This window comes from Homo sapiens, chromosome 20 (assembly GCF_000001405.40).
Source record: "Homo sapiens chromosome 20, GRCh38.p14 Primary Assembly".
NCBI classification, from domain to species: domain Eukaryota; kingdom Metazoa; phylum Chordata; class Mammalia; order Primates; family Hominidae; genus Homo; species Homo sapiens.
In genome coordinates this window covers 19,859,097-19,879,064 of record NC_000020.11, presented here as the reverse complement: position 1 = coordinate 19,879,064, position 19,968 = coordinate 19,859,097, and the positions used below count along the sequence as shown (strand labels likewise).

Genomic DNA, 19,968 nt, shown 5'->3' with positions numbered 1-19,968 from the left:
CAAATAATTTCTGCTAGGCTCTGCAGGTTCTCTGAAGCTTAGGGTTTTCCTCTCAATGTTCTACCTCACCCCATCCTCTTGTTCAGACGTCTGACTCCTTCCTCTGGCAGTGGGGCCAGACAGGGCAGGTGTGGTTAGCATGGAGCCCAAGGTACAGGGGAGGAAGCAGGATTACCTCTTATCCATTGAGACTATTTGAGGGTGGGTACAAACTCATGTCCAAGAGAGACTGCTTTGAGTCATAATGATAGCAAAAGAATTAGATTATGGAAAACAGTAAAGCACGGAGGGTCGAGTGGGCCCATGGATGGATGGTCTGAGTTGACAGTAGAGACAGCATCATTGCCTGTGTCTGGGTTTTCGTGCCACCCATGAGGATGCTGGGTGGACACTGGCATTTTCAGGGACTGAGGCAAGAGGACAGATGGAAGTTCACTTATACTTTATGTCTGAATATTAAAAAAATTATACATCAAGAGAACAAACTGTTAACTAAAGTATGTTCTATTCTCCTACCACGACAAATGTGCCTTTACGAGGACTTGGGAAACCTGGTTTAAATTTAAAATTCTCAGACTCGTCTGTGTTTTGTCCCTGAACATGGGGACATGGGGTGACCCTGGTTTGTTACACCTCTTCTCCCTCCAATAGCTCTGTGGATACCCCATCCTTCATGTCCAAGTGCTGTGCATCCTTTATTCCCTCCCACACTTTTCAGCCTATGGATGCTACTCCAGGAGCAGAGTCAGCCCATGGGCCCAGGGGCTTGGGAGACATCCTGCCAAGCAGTGGAAGCAGGCTTGGGCCACGCGGGAAGAGATTCCAGAGCTTTGGGCATTGGGAGCATGGGTGAGGCAGGGAGGGGATGTGGGCCCAAGACTGGCACAACTTGTTTGCTCCAAAAACTTCTCCTTCCACGAGGAGGGGTGAGGCTAGGATAGGACAAAGTGCATATCTCAGGTGTTAGGGGACTATTGGGTGGCAGGTAGGATCATCTTAGGGCTCACAACAGAATGGACACAGCTTCCGCTACTATTTTTCTTTTTTGAGACACTCTTACTCTGTCGCCCAGACTAGAATGCACTGGCATAATCATGGCTTACTGCAGCCTCAACCTCCCAGGCTCAAGTGATACTCCCACCACAGCCTCTCCAGTAGCTGGGACTACAGGTGTGCACCACCACACTTGGATAATTTTTTGACTTTTTTGTAGAGACAGGGGTCTCTACAGTTGTCCAGTCTAGTCTTGAACTCCTGGGCTCAAGCGATCCTCCCACCTCAGCCTCCCAAAGTGCTGAGATTATAGGCATGAACCACTGTGCCCAGCCCCACCACTGCTTTTAGTCCTCTCCCACCCTCCATCCAATCCTGGTTTGCAAAAGTATAAGGTTCGGTCCTGTGTGGGCCTAGTTACATCCTTGTGGCACTTGCAGAAAGCAGGTGGGCTTAGGTTCAACAGCCCTATTGCAACCTAATTTCTCTCTAGCTCTGAATTCCAGCAAAGAGGTCAGACTCTCTCCTGAGAAGCATCCTGGCTCTTGTGCTCCTTCCTCTGCCTTATGGCTCTTTCACGGGGTGAGTCTACAACACTATAACCCTGCACTATGGACCCACTGTCTTAGACTTCTGAAACCTCGCTCTCAGTTCCAAACCAGATGCCTTTCCCCTCCAAACATTCTTCTCTTGGGAGTCAAAACACATCCAGTAAGCACTGAAAAATACCTCTGCCTTGTGTCTGAGATATGCACACTTTCTCTGGGGCTGGGGTAATGTTATGAACCCTCTGCAATCAGCATCCATTGACCTCGAGTTACTGCAGATAATAGGAAAACAGATAACATGCCTGAGAATCACCCAGAAGCTGAGTTTCTTGGTAAAACAAGGCATCCCTCTCTTTGGGTGGTTGTAACAGCATCTCCAGCAAGGGGGAAGGTTAGAAGTTAATGCTTTTATCTTCCTGAAGACCTTATCTTCTTACTCTCCTCCAGAAGGCTGTAAGTGCTTTTGCTGAAATCAGTAAAGCAAACTGGGCCAAACTGACCTCTTCGCAGTCCTGACTGGCCTAATCCAAATGGGTGGGTCTGGCTGTAAAAGAATGAATGCCCCAGTACACTTGGTATGTGGTTGTTTTTTTTGTTTGTTTGTTTTTTGTTTTTTTTTTTTGAGATGGAGTCTCTATTGCCCAGGCTGGAGTGCAGTGGTGAGATCTCAGCTCACTGCAACCTCCGCCCCGCTGGGTTCAAGCGATTCTCCTGCCTCAGCCTCCTGAGTAGCTGGAATTACACGCACCCGCCACCACACCCAGATAATTTTTGTATTTTTAGTAGAGACAGGATTTCACCATGTTTGCCAGGCTGGTCTTGAACTCCTGATCTCAAGTGATCTGCCTGCCTCAGCCTCCCAAAGTGCTGGGATTCCAGGCGTGAGCCACAGCACCCAGCCGGTATGTGGTATTTTGATTTATAAAGGGCTTTTACTCACATATCCCCATTTCGCCTGTCTGTTATGCCATCATAGTCTGTGTGGCACCTCTCTCTACATGAGCCCTCCCTACATCTGGAAGCTTCCATTTTAACCAAGGCTTTCTCCATAGGCCCTATTTTCCAGTTAAGCCCTATTCTCTTAGTTAGGAGTCTTTCCTTTTCTCTCCTCTTCCCTTTTTTTGAATTATAGTCTACCCCTTTATTATCTCATTGGGGTATACACAGAGAGTAGACAGAAATCAAATCTTTCAGTCGAAGGCAAAAGATTTATACGACCTGAAGATAAACCAGAGGATAGAAGTCAGATCTTTCAGTTGGCAGAGCTGTGCATTATTTCTGGATTGCAACTACTTACTTTGCCTGGATCAAATAAAAATAAAACAAAAACAAAAGCCAAGGGTTTGTGGAGTCTGCTTCCTCTTTTCCTATACTCAGAAATATCTGTCTAGAAAAAAGTACGAGAAGCAGTCATTTTTGGTTTCTCTCTCTGAAATTTAGCTTCCAGTGCAGACTTTCCACTTCACATTCCGTTCCCCTGAAGTCCTCGCTCCCTCTTCTGTTAATGACAACCCCAGGCTCAAAGCCTCAGAGGGAGGGACCCCGGCTGTGCCCTTACTTTCCTCCTCACATCAGTCACTCTGCAGTTCTGCTGAATCTTCTGGCTGAAACGTCACTCATCTTCCTTCCCATCCTCTGCACTCACTCAGGCCTTGGACTGCGCCGACCCTAATGGCTTCAGCAGCTCTTTAAATGTCTGTGCATCCCCACTGTCTGTCTCTGCTTCATTCCATCCTGCAGGCCCACACCAAAGGACACATTCTGCTGGGAACGTGTTGAGTGATTTAAATGTCTGCATCACCACTGTCTGTGTCTGTTTCATTCCATCCTGCAGGCCTGCACCAGCATTCTGCTTCCCTGTTTGCAACCCATTTTTTATTTATTAAAAAAAGTTTAATTTTTAATCTGTTGCTTAGGCTGGACTGCAATGGCACAATCATAGCTCACTATAGCCTCAAACTCTTGGACTCAAGCCATCCTCCCGCCTCAGACTCCTTTGGGACTACAGGTGTGCAATACCACATCCAGTTAACTCATCTTTTTAGAATTTAAAAATTTAGGCTGGGCGCAGTGGCTCACGCCTGTAATCCTAGCACTTTGGGAGGCTGAGGTGGGCAGATCACAAGGTCAGGAGTTTGAGACCAGCCTCGCCAACATGGTGAAACCCCATCTCTACTAAAAAAAAGAAAATACAAAAATTAGCCGGGCATGGTAGCGTGCGCCTGTAATCCCAGCTACTTGGGAGGCTGAGGCAGGAAAATTGCTTCAACCCGGGAGGTGGAGGTTGCAGTGAGCCAAGATCATACCACTGCACTCCAGCCTGAGCAACAGAGTAAGCCTCCGTTTAAAAAAAAAAAATTATCTGCTGGGTGCGGTGGCTCATGCCTGTAATCCCAGCTCTTTGGGGGACCGAGGTGGGTGGATCACTTGAAGTCAGGAGTTGGAGACCAGCCTGGACAACATAGCAAAACCCCAGCTCTACTAAAAATACAAAACTTAGCTGGGTATGGTGGCACCCACCTGTAATCCTAGCTCCTCAGGAGGCTGAGGCATGAGAATCGCTTGAACCCAAGAGGAGGAGGCTTCAGTGAGCCAAGATCATGCCACTGCACTCCAGTCTGGGTGATGGAGTGAGACCCTGTCTCAAAAAATAAAAAATAAAATAAAATAAAATAAAATAATTTTAAAAATAAAAGTGTATCTATATTCCCTCTTTAGGGCCCCTTCTGCTCTGCAACCAACTCAACTATTCAATCTCAGTTGCTAATTATGTCTCTACACCCTCAACTCTCATTACACTCCTCTGCTCAGTGTAACCTGTCTTAGTCTCCATTCCCCTGGAAGCCAACTCTGAGAGAAGCATTGCTGTGCAAATTGTTTCCTTCAGAGGTAGTCACAGGAAACACTGTAGGGAAGGAGACAGGTACTGTGAGGGAGTCAGGGAAGAGAAGGCAGCCAAAGAAAGGTGCATTACTGACACCAGGAAGCATTATGAGATAATGACGGGGTGTGCTGTCTTGAGCACCCTTCTGGGTTAGCTCCACCTTTCACTGTCTTTCTTTGAGCCACAATCAATTGTTGTACTTCATGGTATTAAGTTCTGTAAAGTCATCACCAACCGTGAATTAGCCAACACTGAACCATTGTTCCTAGGGGAAATACCAGTTTAGGTTCCTGCTAGCCCCTGGTCACAGCATTTTCATTAACAGATCAATGCATAACCTTGCTTTATGTGTGTTTCTAGTTAAAACCACCTTATTTAATATGTAATGTTGAGTCATTGACACTGAAGTCATAGTCAACAGCACTATAACTCAAGCCTGAACAGAGTTTATCTAACATTCACATTTTCTCCATCACAGCCTTCTTGCCCTTAAACAGTTGTTTGGCATTTACTTTAGGGGCCTCTTAAAGCAGTGAAATAACCAACACACACAAACACACACACACACACACACACACCAAAATGTGAAAAAGGCAGCACTAAATAGACATCAAAAAGGACACTTGTTTACAGTATGAGAGCTGAAACAAGAAGGTAGAGCTTCATTCATCCTCAGCTGGGAATGTGCCAGGTGATTTAAATTTTTGCTCCTCTGTGTATGTGCACGAATGACCACAAAAGCACCATGATTATTGATTTGGGAGTCACAAATAAATTTTAGCAAGAAGGCAAATTTGCAAATACAGAATTCACAAATAATGAGGATCAACTGTATTTTCAATTCTGTAAATTGTAGAAAACTCATAATAATGCAGATGAATGTTGCCCACAGAGATGCAAATTCGGTTCTATGGAGATGCACTTGATTAGTGCCCTGTGGATATTGACCAGTTTTGCATCCACTTGTAAAGCAATTTCAGGGTTCTTAATTGCCTGTATCAGGGGTCTGCAAAGAAGGTCTCTAGGCCAAATGCACCTACCATGTGCTTTTGAGAATAAAGTTTCATTGAAACACCAGCAACCACTCCTTTATTAACATATAGTCTATAGCTGTTTCAGGCTACAGTGGTAGAACTGAGTAGTTGCAACAGAGACTACGTGGCCTGCAAACCCTAAAATGTTATCTGGTCCTTTCCAGAAAAAGTGTGTTACATGGTTGGACATGGTGGTGCACACCTGTAATTCCAGCACATTGGCAGGCTGAAGCAGGAGGATCCCTTGACCCCGGAGTTCAAGAGCAGCCTTGGCAACATAGTGAGACCCCAACTCTACAAAAAACTTTAAAAAATTAGCCAAGAGTGGTGGCACATGCCTGTAGTCCCAGCTACTTGGGAGGCTGAGGCATGAGGATTACCTGAGCCCAGGAGATCAAGGCTGCAGTGAGCCGAGATTGCACCACTGCACTCCAGCCTGGGTGATAGAGCAAGACTCTGTCTCAAAAATAAAATAAAATAAAAATAAAAATAATAAAATAAAACATTAAAAAAAGAAAAAGTGTGTTATATATTTGTATGTAAGTGCTATTTGAGTCTATGTTTAAATCAGTTGTGACATTTTACCATTTCCCTCATTCACTAATGAGTTTAAAAAATTTTAAGCAGTTTTTAAAACATTTAATTAATTTATTTATTAAATATATGTAGAGAGTACAAGTGCAGGTACCTTACATGCATATTTTGTGTAGTGGTGAAGTTTGGGCTTCTGCTATATCCATCACCTGAATAGTGAGCATCATAATCAATGGGTAATTTTTCAACCCTCACTCCCTACCCAGCGTCCCACATTTTGTAGTTTCCAATGTCCAGTATTTCACTCTGATGTAGTTTTTAAAAAGTTTTCTATTAATGTCATGATTTTACCTTTAGAATATTTATCCTTTAAGACTGAACATGTATAGCTGGGGGCCACCAGAGCATGATGCTGCAGGGGAGTGCAGATGATGTGGGGTGAGTGTGCTTCAGGGGTGTCCCACTTGAGGTCAAGGAAGCTGGGTTGTGTAGGTCACTGTTGGAGAATTGCTCCTGGGCGTATTAACTTGATGGCACCCTCAGACGGCCAGGCAGAAAGTTGCAGTAAGACGTGCATAGGAGTGTATGGTAGGAGGAAGTGAGCGAGGTACAATCGCACATGCATCTTATCCATATTTTATCCCCACTCCCACCTTTGCATTTGGACCAGTGCCCCCACACCTTCCCTACTTCGTATATCCAAATTCTGCCTATTCTTCAAAGACTAGCTCAAGCCCATGGTATTAGTCCATTCTCACACTATTATACAGAACTTCCTGAAACTGGGTCATTTATAAAGGAAAGAGGTTTAATTGACTTACAGTTCCTCATGGCTGAGGAGGTTTCAGGCAACTTACAATCATAGTGGAAGGGGAAGCAAGCACCTTCTTCACAAGGCAGCAGGAGAGAGACGAGTGAAAAAGGAGGAACTTCTGAACTCTTATAAAACCATCAGATCTCGTGAGCACTCAGTTACTATCACTAGGCATGGGGGAAACTGCCCCCATGATCCAATAACCTCCCACCAGCTCCCTCCTTCAACACCTGGGGATTACAATTCAAGATGAGATTTGAGTGGGGACACGAAGCCTAACCATATCACCCACCCTGTTCATGGGCTTTTCCCTGAGCACTGCCCCCATAATGATCTAACTCCATTATTGAACCAGTGAAATAACTTAAGAGTCCACAATTCCTAAATCTTAGCGTCCTCCTCATAAACATCATTGAAATAAACTGGGGATCCATTTCAGCATTTTTAACTGGAAATATAGTCCCTGTTAGGCAGAGTTCCTGCCTATGATTCCTTAGAGAAGCCGCGATGCGTACATTGGTTCTACCTCCTTCAGAGTAGAGACCCCACAGAAGTGGAGATAGGAAACAATCCTCACTAGCACTGATCTATCTTTGTTGAGTATTTTGACACGTGGCAATGCATGCCCTAACTCCCAGCCAAACCTAGAACAAGCCAACCTAGAACAGCTAGAATGTGTGACCTAAGTTGGCAGTCTGAGGAAGAGGAAATTCTGAAACCACATAGTGCATGATGCACTGCTATTTACTAGCAACAGTGATTTTTCTCACCTCAACCCTGCTCCCTCATTTTAGTAGGACATCTCTGAGGTGCACGATATATACTGTCTCCCAAAGATACCTCATGAGATGAAGCTTCAGCTGGGTGTCAATTTGTTGCTCAGGGTGGTCTCAAACTCCTGGCTTCAAAGTGAAGCCCCGTCTTGGCCTCCCAAAGTAAGATTACAGATGTGAGCCACCTACCTGGCGAGAGTATCATTTTTGTTGTTGTTCAGCTCTTGCAAAATAAATTCAAAGAAAAAGAAGTGTCACCAAATGAATTAGTCCTCTTAGGATCCCCATGTGCCTTGGTCCAGATCTGCTCCCATCAGACCACAATGAAAGCTTTTAAGATATCCCTCCTGTCTTTCTCTTCATAATCCCTTGCCTGCTTCTCCATGGTAATCAGCAATCAATCCTGCAATACAAATGAGCCCTTGAATCAGCTAGGAATTTTTATGTTGGAAGTAACAGAAAACCCCATTCAAATTGGCTTGAAGATAAATAATAACATCTCCTTAAACAGTATTTGTTAGTTGCAAGGGGACCGATAGTAACTACACAGTGGAGAAATTAGGCAACACCTTGTCCAGGTGATCCAAGTCAGCATCCCAAACGAAGGCAGCCAGATGCTGTGTTCCTCCAGACGTGATGCCCTAGAAGAACACAGCATCAGTTAGAGGATATTACAACAGAGAGTGTGTATGTGGAATCTCATCAAGAAGAAACATCATACCCACTCCAACTGAGGGACATCCCATCATAGAACTGGCCTAGATTCTACATCAATATCAATGTCGTGAAAAACAAAGAAAGGCTGAGGAACCATTTTTTCTTTCTTTCTTTCTTTTTTTTGAAAGAGTCTAATGCTATAGCCCAGGCTGGAGTGCAGTGGTGCGATCTTGGCTCACTGCAACCTCTGCCTCCTGGGTTCAAGTGATTCTCGTGCCTCAACCTCCTGGGTAGCTAGGATTACAGACGTGCACCATCGTGCCTGGCTAATTTTTGTATTTTTAGTAGAGATGGGGTTTCACCATGTTGGCCAGGCTGGTTTTGAACTCCTGGCCTTATATGATCCACCCACCTTGGCCTCCCAAAGTGTTGGGATTACAGGCTTGAGCCACTACACCTAGCCTGAGGAATCACTCTTAAAAAAGATTAAAGAGGCCTGACACCTTCCTGCAAAAGACATGATCTGGACTAGTTCCTGGACTAGAGAAAGAAACATGCTATACAGGACATTATTGGGAAAAATGATAACAATTGGCATCTCGGGTTTAGATCAAAGTATCATATGATGATTAGGCTCCATTCTTGGGTCATCGAACTGTGGGAATGTAGGAGAACCTCCATGTTCTTCAGAAGTATATACTGGTGCAGTAAGTGGTGAAGGGGCCTGATGGCTACAATCTACTCTAACCTGGTTCAGAGGCTGATACAGGAAATGGGGCAAAATGGCACAGGTCAGTGAACCTGTGCAAATAGTACAGAGGAGTCCTCAGAACTATTCTTGCCACGGTTCTGGAAGTTTGACATTATTTCAAAATAACTTGGCCCCGTGAGGTGGCTCACGCCTGTAATCCCAATGCTTTGGGACGCCCAGGCGGGAGAATTGCTTGGGTCCAGCACTGTCATCTGGGCAACATAGCGAACCCCCTTCTCTACAATAAATAAATAAATAAATAAATAAATAAATAAATAAATAAAATTAGCCAGGCATGGTGGTGCACACCTGTATTCCCAGCTACTTGGGAGGCTGAGGTGGGAGCATCACTTGAGTCTAGGAGTTCGAGGCTGCAGTAGCTGTGATTGCACCACTGCACTCCAGCTTGGGCCCCAGAGCGAGACCCTGTCTCTCAAAAAAAAAAAAACCCAAGAACAAAATAAAAGCTTAAAAATCTCTAAGCAGTAAAAGTGATTAAGGGATGGCCTAAAGTCCAGGGTGAGGGTGGAGGCTTCATGGAGTGGCATGGGCCAATCCAGCAGCTCCACAATTCAACCAGGCCCCATTTCCCCAGCTTTTTCTATCTCTTGGTTTGGCCCTTCCCTGGGGTCAGTGCTAACCCATCTTCAGTGTGGCCAGTGATGACGTGGCTTCGTCTCCCCACCTCACCATGTCACAAAAGTCAGTAACCTCTGAAGGAATAGTGAGGGTCTTGTTCCCCAGAAACCCTTCCTCTCAAGTTTGGGAAATCCTGCCTAAAACACAAAATCTAATCAAGGTGGCCCTGACATCAGTCCAAACTCTGCCACAGCGTATATGGTCTTCATCAATTTCATTCAAACCTTTATTTGCATTTCTAATCCCTCTCTCCAGCGCAGACTCATCCACCCTGCGTGTTTCTGTATACATCACTCAGTCTCTGTTTAAAATGCCTCACCACCTGGTGAACACTTTTTTTTTTTTTTTTTTTTTTTGAGACGGAGTCTTGCTCTGTCACCCAGGCTGGAGTGCAGTGGCGTGATCTCGGCTCAACTGCAACCTCCACCTCCCGGTTCAAGCAATTCTCCTGTCTCTGCCTCCCGAGTAGCTGGAATTAGAGGCACATGCCACCACACCCAGCTAACTTTTTGTATTTTTAGTAGAGACAAGGTTTCACGATGTTGGCCAGGTTGGTCTTGAACTCCTGACCTTAGGTGATCCACCCCCCTTGGCCTCTCAAAGTGCTGGGATTACAGGTGTGAGCCAGCATGCCCAGCTAGTGAACACCTTTTTATCCCTCAAGACTTAGGTCAGAGATCATCTCTGTGCTAGCTTCCCTTCATTACCTATTCCCATTATCAGCCCTTCCCCTTTCTGGGTCCCCAAGGTCCCTCTGACAGCCTCCACAACATCATGATTATAGCTGTCTGTTTATCTCACATAGGCTGTGTGCCCCTACAGGATGGAGCACGGCCTGTTGTCGAATGTTCACGGTCTGCCCAGCATATCATAAAACCCGGATGAAACCCTAAGACCTGCCCTGCTCATTTCACGTGTTTCCTGGCCCAGTGAAAGTGTGTGGTATGAATTCAGGAGCGAATCTGTAAGAGTACTTCAAACAGTGCTGGACACTAAATAATTTACTAAAATAAAACGTTGTCCAATAAAATACATCTTCATTCCTTTGGGTATTTTACTGCATTAAGGAAAATTACCCTGTTACTCAAGCCACATGGAACCACTAAGAAACTCATAACGTAGCCAGGCGGTGGAAAGCGCGTATGTCCCAATTTCCTGTTTTTCTCCGAGACGCTGCTGCCCCAGCCTGGGTCAGGCGATGCGTGGTTTGTGGCCTGCCACTTGGGCAGCCCTGGCTCAGAAGAAAGGCCATCTTCATTTTATATGGGAAAGTTGGAGAAACCTCAGAAGAGCCGTGGTGCATAAATATCACGTCACCAAAGCAGGGAACTGGCCACACTCACAGGCCTCCTTGGGGCCTGGCTTGGTGTCAGTTCCTGCTGTGGAGCTTGGTTCGGCTCTTTGTGCACCAGCATGCCCCACGCCAGACATGACGACACTGATGGCTTTTGCAGCCCCAGCCACAGAACAGGCTGCTGATGCTGCCCTTTCTTGTCCCACGAAAACGCCTTGCAGTTCAGAGAGCAGGCCGGCTCACCCAGCTGCACAGCATTTTCAGAGCAGCTTTGGGGCCATCATCCAGCAAAGTCTAAATACCCTCCCAGTTTGATTCATCTCTCAGTTTTAGACAAACCACAACTCTTAAAATTCTCCCACTGCAGAGAAACTTGGTGGACACCACCATCTTAACTAAACTATTGGAGCTGGTGTCACCAGGAATAAAACAAACCTGCCACATGTGCCTCCTGATATCTGGGACTGAGGAGGCCACCGCATCACTCTGGGGCATTCCTGCCACGGGTGCAAAACATGAATCTACTGTGAGGAGCATCAGACAAACCTAAACTGAGGGTCACTCTACAAAAATGATTGGCCTGCATGCTCTAAAAACGTAAAGGTCTTAAAAGGCAACAAAAGCTAAGGATACATTTCAGAGTGAAGGAGTCTCTAAACAGAAGTGACAACTCAATTCAATAAATGATCCTCAGTTGGATGCTTAACTGAAAAAAAATGCTGTAAATGACATTATTGGGATAATTGGAAAAACTGAAATATGGGCAACAGATTAAAGTATTGCATCAATGTTAAATTTCCTGAATTTGGTAACTGGATTGTGATGATGTAAAAATATGTCCTTGTTCTTAAGAAGTAAACACTAAAGTATTGAGTGGTAAAGAGGCGTGACTCATGCAACTTACTGTCCAATGGTTTAGAAAAAAGTGTGTGTGTGTGCACATGAGCATGTGTGCACGTGTTGTGTGTGGAGTGAGAGGTAAAAAAGAGAAATAAAACAAATATGGTAAAATGTTAAAATGTGTTAATCTGGATAACTGACATCTTATGAGTCTCTGTACTATACTTGCAAACTTTGTGTAAATTTGAAATTATTTAAAAATGTAAAAATGCATTCCATTAAACAAAAAAAAAAATAAAAATAAACAAGATTCTTAGTGATGGTTTAACGTTTTCGCACAGCAAAACACTAACATGTGTGTTGAAAAATAAATTAATCTGGCCAGGTATGGTGGCTCACTCCTGTAATCCCAGCACTTTGGGAGGCCAAGGCGGGAGAATCGCTTGAGGTCAGGAGATCGAGATCAGCCTGGTCAACATAGTGAAACCCCATCTCTACTAAAAATACAATAATTATGCTGGTGTGGTGGTGCCTGCCTGTAATCCCAGCTACTCAGGAGGCTGAGGCATGAGAATCATTTGAACCTGGGAGGTGGAACTTGCAGTGAGCTGAGATCATGCCACTGCACTCCCGCCTGGGTGACACAGGAAGACTCTGTCTCAAAATAAATAAAATAAAATAAAATATCCAAAATTAATCTAGAAACACAATTTCACGTTAATGTTTTTTAAAAGCTTGAAATTTGATATAAAAAGCATATATGGCTATGTGTTTTGTGAATTTTGTATGCAATGTTAAAGATATACAAAAAGGTTTAAAGATGTAACATGTCTCTCTGCACTCCCCAGCCCTGTGGAGTCCTGTCTATCATATATCCTTTTTCTTTTCAGAGGTTACAAGAATTCTGAACTTGGAGTTCATCAGTCCTATATATCAGGGGTCCCCCACCCCCCAAGACTGCACAGCAGGAGGTGAGCAGTGAGTGAGGCAGTGAAGCTTCATCTGTATTTACAGCCACTCCCCATTGCTCATATTATCACCTGAGCTCTGCCTCCTGTCAGATCAGCAGTGGCATTAGATTCTCATAGTAGCACAAACCCTATTGTGAACTGCACATGCAAGGGATCTACACTCTGTGCTCCTTATGAGAATCTAATGCCTGATGATCTGTCTCCCATCACCCCCAGATGGGACCATCTAGTTGCAGGAAACCAAGCTCAGGGCACCCACTGATTCTACATTAAGGTGACTTGTATAATTATTTAATTATATATTACAATGTAATAATAATAGAAATAAAGTACACAATAAATGTAATGTGCTTGAATCATCCCAAAACCATCCCTCACACAACCCCGGTCTATGGAAAAATTGTCTTCCGTGAAACTGGTCCCTGGTGCCAAAAAGGTTGGGGACCACTTCTATTATATGTATGCAAATGCACCTTTATACATTTGCTACATATGTATGTATGTGTATATTTTTATTATATTTTTGTAAAGTATAACTTTTGGTCAGGCATGGTGGCTCATGCTTGTAATCCCAGCACTTTGGGAGGCCAAAGCAGGATTGCTTAAGGTCAGGAGTTTGAGACCAGGCTGGGGAACAAAGTGAGACCCTCCATCTGTACAAAAAATAAAAAATAAAAATTAGCTGGGCCTGGTGGTGTGTGCCTATAGTTTTAGCTTTTTGAGAGGCTGAGGAGGGAAGATCACTTGAACCCAGGAGTTTGAGGCTGCAGTGAGCCATGATTGCAGCACTGCACTTTAGCCTGGGTTAACAGAGCAAGACACTGTTGCCAAAAAAAAAAAAAAAGAAAGAAAGTATAACTTTTAAAATGAAATTTGAATTTAAAATTGTGTAATCCCTGAAGGACCCCTCAGGGTATGTATTAAGGTTCCAGGGAATACAGTTTTATTGGGCAGTTTTATTTAGCTGAGCTGATCTTTCTGGCTCTTCAGAGGCATTTACCCAGTGGCCTGAGTGTACCTCCTCAGAAAGGAACCTGAATGTTGTGACTATACTGTATAGAAAATATGTCATAGCACACACCTGATGACATGCTGGGACCAAAATATGCCATCTCACAATGGTGACGGTGAGCATCTCTCCTTAACTCTGCCTAAGGACATTCTGTTAGTAATTTGAAGATGATTATGGTTGGAGTATTTATTTACACCATGGAAATTGGCAAGTACTAAATCTGGGGGAGTCGTAAACATTTACAGCAAACCATTGTCTGCACCTTGCTCCCCAGCATCTTTGATGTAAAAGGGATAAGCTAATTCAGGTTTTTCAGGTAGTCTTTCAGATACTTAAAAGAGAAAATGAAGAAATAAAACTTGTTAAGATTTCATATCCTAGCTTGAATGCTATAGAAAGTGTTAAGGTGAATTTAGGTGATCTTAAAAAAATGGTCCAAAATGCCCAAATAGAATCATCCAAATATAATTTACAAATAAAATTTGTCTGGTAGAGAACAACTCCAAAGATGATGGTTTGACGGCCCTTTGAGGATGGTAACCAGTTTTGTATCACAGGCAGCGAGTATATGTAGCCTATTTCAGCAGGATTTCTTTAGACTGATTACATATACACCAATCTCTTGTACCCATCCTGCTTTGAACTAGCTTTACCCACCTGCTGATGCCTTCCTAATAAGTCTTTAACCCCACGCTCCTTATATGTCAATAGGAGGGCTCTATTTTTAAACTTTTAAATGATCATATTTTGACAAAGGAGAAGTGTATTGGAACCAAATAATTTGGTCCTTTTTTCTTCTTGTCAAATTCCATGCTGTCTGCTTTGGAGGAGGGACTTTGGTGAAGTCAGGAAGGAAGGATTCAAAGGATGCTGTGTTTCACGACCTGGTAATTTTGTTTATAGAGCCAAGCGTCATGATCTTCTAAATGTAACCAGGTCTGGTGTTAATAAGAACCAGGAAAATCCTAACCACAAACAGTTGAATGTTTTGCCAAAAAGCTTGTGCCCTGTGGGGCAAACTTAACCAAACAACTTTATGAAAGTTCAGCTGTTAACTCCTCACTCCAGAAGAGGACATGACCCTGCAAACTAAACAGTGCCACCCAGGATGGTCAAAAACCAGGGTACTGTCAATAGTAACTTCTCCCGCCTCTTGCAAACTATTGTTTCCCAGCCTTTTCAGACCCTTTTTTCTAATTGATCCCTCCATTAAATCTTAATACCATGGATATCCATCGTATAACTGTTTATGTATCATATGCATATCTGTGTCTTATACATTAAAAAAAAAGTTTTTTTTTTACCACCCACCCCCGAGAACCAATTCTTGCCTTCTTGGGGGCAATCTAGCCCCTGTTGAGAATGCGTGTTGTAAACTGACCATTATTCACTGTGCTCTCACAGCCTGGCAATGCCCATATGGGGTTTCCCAGAGCAGTGTGAAGATGAACACAGGATGGGAATGACCTCTCCCATCTATGGTCATCTTTGCTTTCTACCGATGAACCGCAGTTTTATAACAGCAGAAACAACCATTCTGGGACTTCCTAGATGCAAGGAATGAGCTAAGCACTTTACATACTGTCAAAGTTTGCCTTCTCCCAGAAGCAAACCCCAAGGCAAGGATTCTAGGGCTGGTAATTTCTGGGAAAGTGGTCCTGAGAAATACTGATAGGTGAATGGGAAAGTGAGGCAGGAAAGAGGAGGATGATTTTCAAGCCATTGACAGCTGTGGACAAATGGAGTTTAATCTCACAGAGTAATGCTGGTAAGCAGTGTCAAACACAAGCTTCAGAGTTATCCCTTCTGAAGGGGGTGAGGGAGCTGGGGTACTGATACAGCTGACTTCCATCAGTCATTGGTTGAAGGCTGCTTGTGGGGACATTAACTCCCCAGTACTCTCTAGACAGACAGATGCAAATGCAAGCAGCCAGCAGTCAAGTTGGTGTGAGCTGCAATGATAAGGCCCAGGGCAGAAGGGTGAGGCACATACATGGTTTCATGTAACGCACAACATCTATGACAGGTGAGCCCTTAATCACTGCAAATGTTATAGAAATGAGACAAAACGTGTTAAATAATGTTCCTAAAGTCAACAGGGAGTAAGTGGAAGTGACAAGTGCTGACTCCAGAGGCCACATGCATAAATGACAGGCTGCACATGTATACTGCCTTTCTTCTTGCACACACATGCTGTTCCTCTTGATTTTTCCTATTCAGATTGATTTGACAAAGCAATAAGATGTATATGAGAAAACGCTCACCTTAGGTAAACACATAAGTTGAGAGGACAAGGGTAGGCACAGAGCAGAGGGTGAAAGAAGAGAGAAAAGTAGATGATGCCAAGAGGGAGGAACATGGTACAAGTCTGCTGGCTCCACGCTGGAGGGCAGATGTTGCTACATTAAGTCATGTTACAAACCAATCCAAAGACAAGATCTTGCAGTGAAAGGGGATTCAACTCAGAAAACGTGCATTTGGCAAGGATTCAGTTCTAGGGACTGTGCTCCCAAGCACTGGGAACACCAAGATGACTAAGACCAGCCCTGGTTCTAACTTTGAAGAACTCATAGTCTACAAAGAGCATTAAAGAAAAAATTATTCAATGATACTTGTTAATGCCTGGTAAGACAGACTTTATTCAGTCCGTGGCAATGGGTGGTTGAGGAGAGAGATTGAGTTCAACTCTGTTTTTGCTTGTTTGTTTGTTTGTTTGTTTGTTTGTTTTGAGACGGAGTCTCACTCTGTCACCCAGGCTGGAGTGCAGTGGCACGATATTGGCTCACCGCAACCTCTGCCTCCCGAGTTTAAGCGATTCTCCTGCCTCAGCCTCCCAAGTAGCTGGGACTACAGGTGCCTGCCACCACGCCCGACTAATTTTTTGTATTTTTAGTAGAGATAGGGTTTCACCATGTTGGCCAGGCTGGTCTCGAACTCTCGAGCTCAGGCAATCCACCCGCCTCGGCCTCCCAAAGTGGTGGGATTACTGGTGTGAGCCAACACGCCCGGCCAAGTTCAACTCTGAATGCAGTATGGACAAGTGGGAATTTATAGCCAAGGAGAAGAGTGGAGGGACAGTGGATGGGGCCTCCATTAAATTTTAATACCATGGATATCTATTGTATAACTGTTTATGTATCATATGCATATTACCAAGAGGAAACATCAGGGTCAGGAGACTCTGGCTAAACCAACCTAGCAGGTTGCTGAAGACAGGCCAGGATGGCCGGACTCCACTTGGGGGATAGTGGCAGTGAAGAAATCTGATCAGGTATGGAGGGTGATCAGATATGGAGGGTGATCATCAGATATGGAGGGTGATCATCAGATATGGAGGGTGATCATCAGATATGGAGGGTGAGCATCAAATATGGAAGATGATCAGATATGGATGGTGATCATCAGATATGGAGGGTGATCACATATGGAGGGTGATCATCAGGTATGGAGGTTGATCAGATATGGAGGGTGATCATTGAATATGGAGAATGATCAGATATGGATGGTCATCATTAGATATGGAGGGTGATCATCAGATATGGAGGGTGATCATCAGATATGGAGGGTGATCATCGGATATGGAGGGTGAGCATCAGATATGGAGGATGATCATCAGATATGGAGGTTGATCAGATACGGAGGGTCATCATCAGATATGGAGAGTGATCAGATATGGAGGGTGATCATTAGATATGGAGGGTGATCATCAGATATGGAGGGTGATCACCAGATATGGAGGGTGATCATCAGATATGGAGGGTGATCAGATAAGGAGGGTGATCAGATATGGAGGGTGATCAGATATGGAGGGTGATCAGATATCGAGGGCAGGGCGTTCTTGCTCAACCTACTTAGCAGGGTTCTTTGTTAAAACTAGATTTTATAAGGAAGTGCTCAGAAGCACCTAGGAGGAGGTTCAGGAGCCTGACTAAAGTTTCGTCAAGCCAAGAATCTTTGTCAAGGGGAAGGGCTGTGGTGGAACATATCATAGCAAAGGCTGACAATGACAGTAGAGTGCAGCTGGGCAGAAATCAATTTTCTCTAGAGGTTGGAGGGTCATGGAAACCTATAAGGAGGTGGGACTTTTGAGACAGGCTTTAAAGGAAGAATAGGAGTTTAGGAGGTGGACAGGATCAAGAAGGGTAGAAGGAATAGTGTGACATCTGCCCGGAGACTGATCAAAGCAGGACATTTGACACATTCTTGATTGACTCTGCTGAATATTTTCTACCTCATAAAGTCATAAGGGGAACTGTTAACCCTAAACTTAACAAGGAAAGACTGGCTGTGGGTTTAGACCTGACCGAATGTTATCATAGGATTTGTAATAGTGAAAGAAGGGTGTTCTTTGCCCTGGCTTTAATTTGCTACTTTCCTGGGTTATCTGCAAAAACTTGCAGTTGGTTATGTGCTGTGCCACCTCTTTTATGGCTTTTTTCTTCGTTCACTTAGTCATTCATTAACTCAACTATGGGGATGTAAAGGTGAATCAGAGTTTGGTTTCTGTTCTGAATATGCTCATAGTCCAGTGAGGGACATAATTAAATAAGAAACCATTAAAAGACAAGCTTATCAGTGCTAAAACAGAGAGAGAGGGGCACACCATCCAGACTCCATGGGGAGTGAGTGTGAGAGAAACACAAGGGTCCCAAGAGGAGAAGACAACTAGGCAATCTGAAAATTAGCTTAGAATTAACCGGCCAGGTGCAGTGGCTCATGCCTGTAATCCCAGTACTTTGGGAGGCCAAGGTGGGTGGATTGCCTGAGGTCAGGAGTTCGAGACGAGTATGGCCAACATGGTGAAACCCCGTCTCTACTAAAAATACAAAAAAAATTAGCTGGGTGTGGTGGTGTGTGCCTGTAATCCCAGCTACTTGGGAGGCTGAAGCAGGGGAGTTGCTTGAGGAGGTGGAGGTTGCAGTGAGCCGAGATCATCGAGCCACTGCACTCCAGCCTGAGCAACAGAGTGAGACTCCGTCTCAGAAAAAAAACAAAAAACAAAACAAAAAAACAAACAAACAAGAATCACCCATGTAAAGGGGCAGACCCGATACAGGATGTCTCTTGGCACCAGTCAGGAGTTCCATTTCTGACTTCCAACCATCAGCATCTGTGCCACTTCATCTGAGGGTTTTCTCTGGTGGTGGGACCTAATGCTATCACACCTATGGAAGGCCAGAAGTGCAAGGGGCAGCCAGTGACAGAGATAAGCCAATGCCTGGCAGGAGTTGGCAAATAAACACCCAGCTCCTTTGCACCTTGGGATGAGTGACTCTGAAGCTTGTGCTCTCTACAGCATCTCCAAGTTTTTCAGTGGGATTCAGTTCCAGTTGTCCACAGGGGTGCCAGGCTTGATAAAACACTCTATACTGGCTTCCTTCCCTTCCTTGTTTCACTTCCAAGATCCCCCAGTGATGCTTCTGGGGATCATCTCCCAAATAAACCACTTGCACTTGAATCCATGACTCCCAAGTTTTGGGCTTGATGACTGGATTCTCCATATAGAGAACGCAGGTGAGGAAGGGAAAGATTTATGGAAAAGATAATGAGCTGAATTTGGAATTGTTGAGTTTGAGCTGTCAGTAGGACATCCATGTGGAAAGTTCAGGAAGCAGGTATATCAATGGATCTGGCTCTTAGGAAGGAGTTATGTGCGGAGATAGTCACGTGGGAGTTGTCAGCATGCACATGGTAGCTACTGTCATGGAATAGATGGGATCTTCATGGAAGTCAAGGGAAAGTTATATTTCAAGACCTTGTGACTATTTAATGGTGCCAGTGCTTCAAAGTGGGCAAGAAAGATAAGAATTGAAAGCTGTCTGTTGGGTAGAGCAACCAGAAGGAAGAGCCAAAGAAATGGGAGGAAAATGGGGAAATTGGCATTTTATGCACAGTATCCTATTTGACCCTCTAGTCAATCTTCGGATGGAAGCACTATTCTTGCCTAATGTTACACAATTAATAAGTGGTAGAGTCAGGATTAGAACCAGGAATGTGTGAATCCCAGCAGTCCTCTCTTTCTATTACACCATACTCCCTTTCCCTGTGCCTGAGGGTGGACGCCCAGGGGCGTCTCTGCAGCCACATCCTGCCTGCCCTCATCCAGCTCATCCCTGGAAGTTGGATGGCTCCTCCCCATCTTGTTCCTGCCAATTAGTGCCTCTAAGGAGACTCTGATTCATCAATGTAGTCCCAACATTCTAAGTATGACCCCCTGGAAGGGC

General features: G+C 44.4%; 1 protein-coding gene across 11 annotated transcripts in view; it reads right to left on the bottom strand.

Moving 5' to 3' along the window:
• Positions 1 to 19,968, bottom strand: part of RIN2 (Ras and Rab interactor 2) — a 244,858-nt gene that overhangs the window by 123,392 nt on the left and 101,498 nt on the right. For 5 of the 11 annotated variants that reach the window (XM_047440213.1, XM_017027887.2, XM_047440211.1 and 2 more), the window contains one exon: positions 7,770 to 7,983. The exons of 3 other annotated variants lie outside the window; for them this stretch is intronic. The gene's annotated coding sequence lies outside the window, so the exon portion shown is untranslated. Of the gene's footprint in view, positions 1 to 7,769; positions 7,984 to 8,149; positions 8,222 to 19,968 lie in introns of all 11 variants that reach the window. 3 more of the 11 variants (XM_047440212.1, XM_017027888.2, XM_047440210.1) reach the window with 1 other exon arrangement.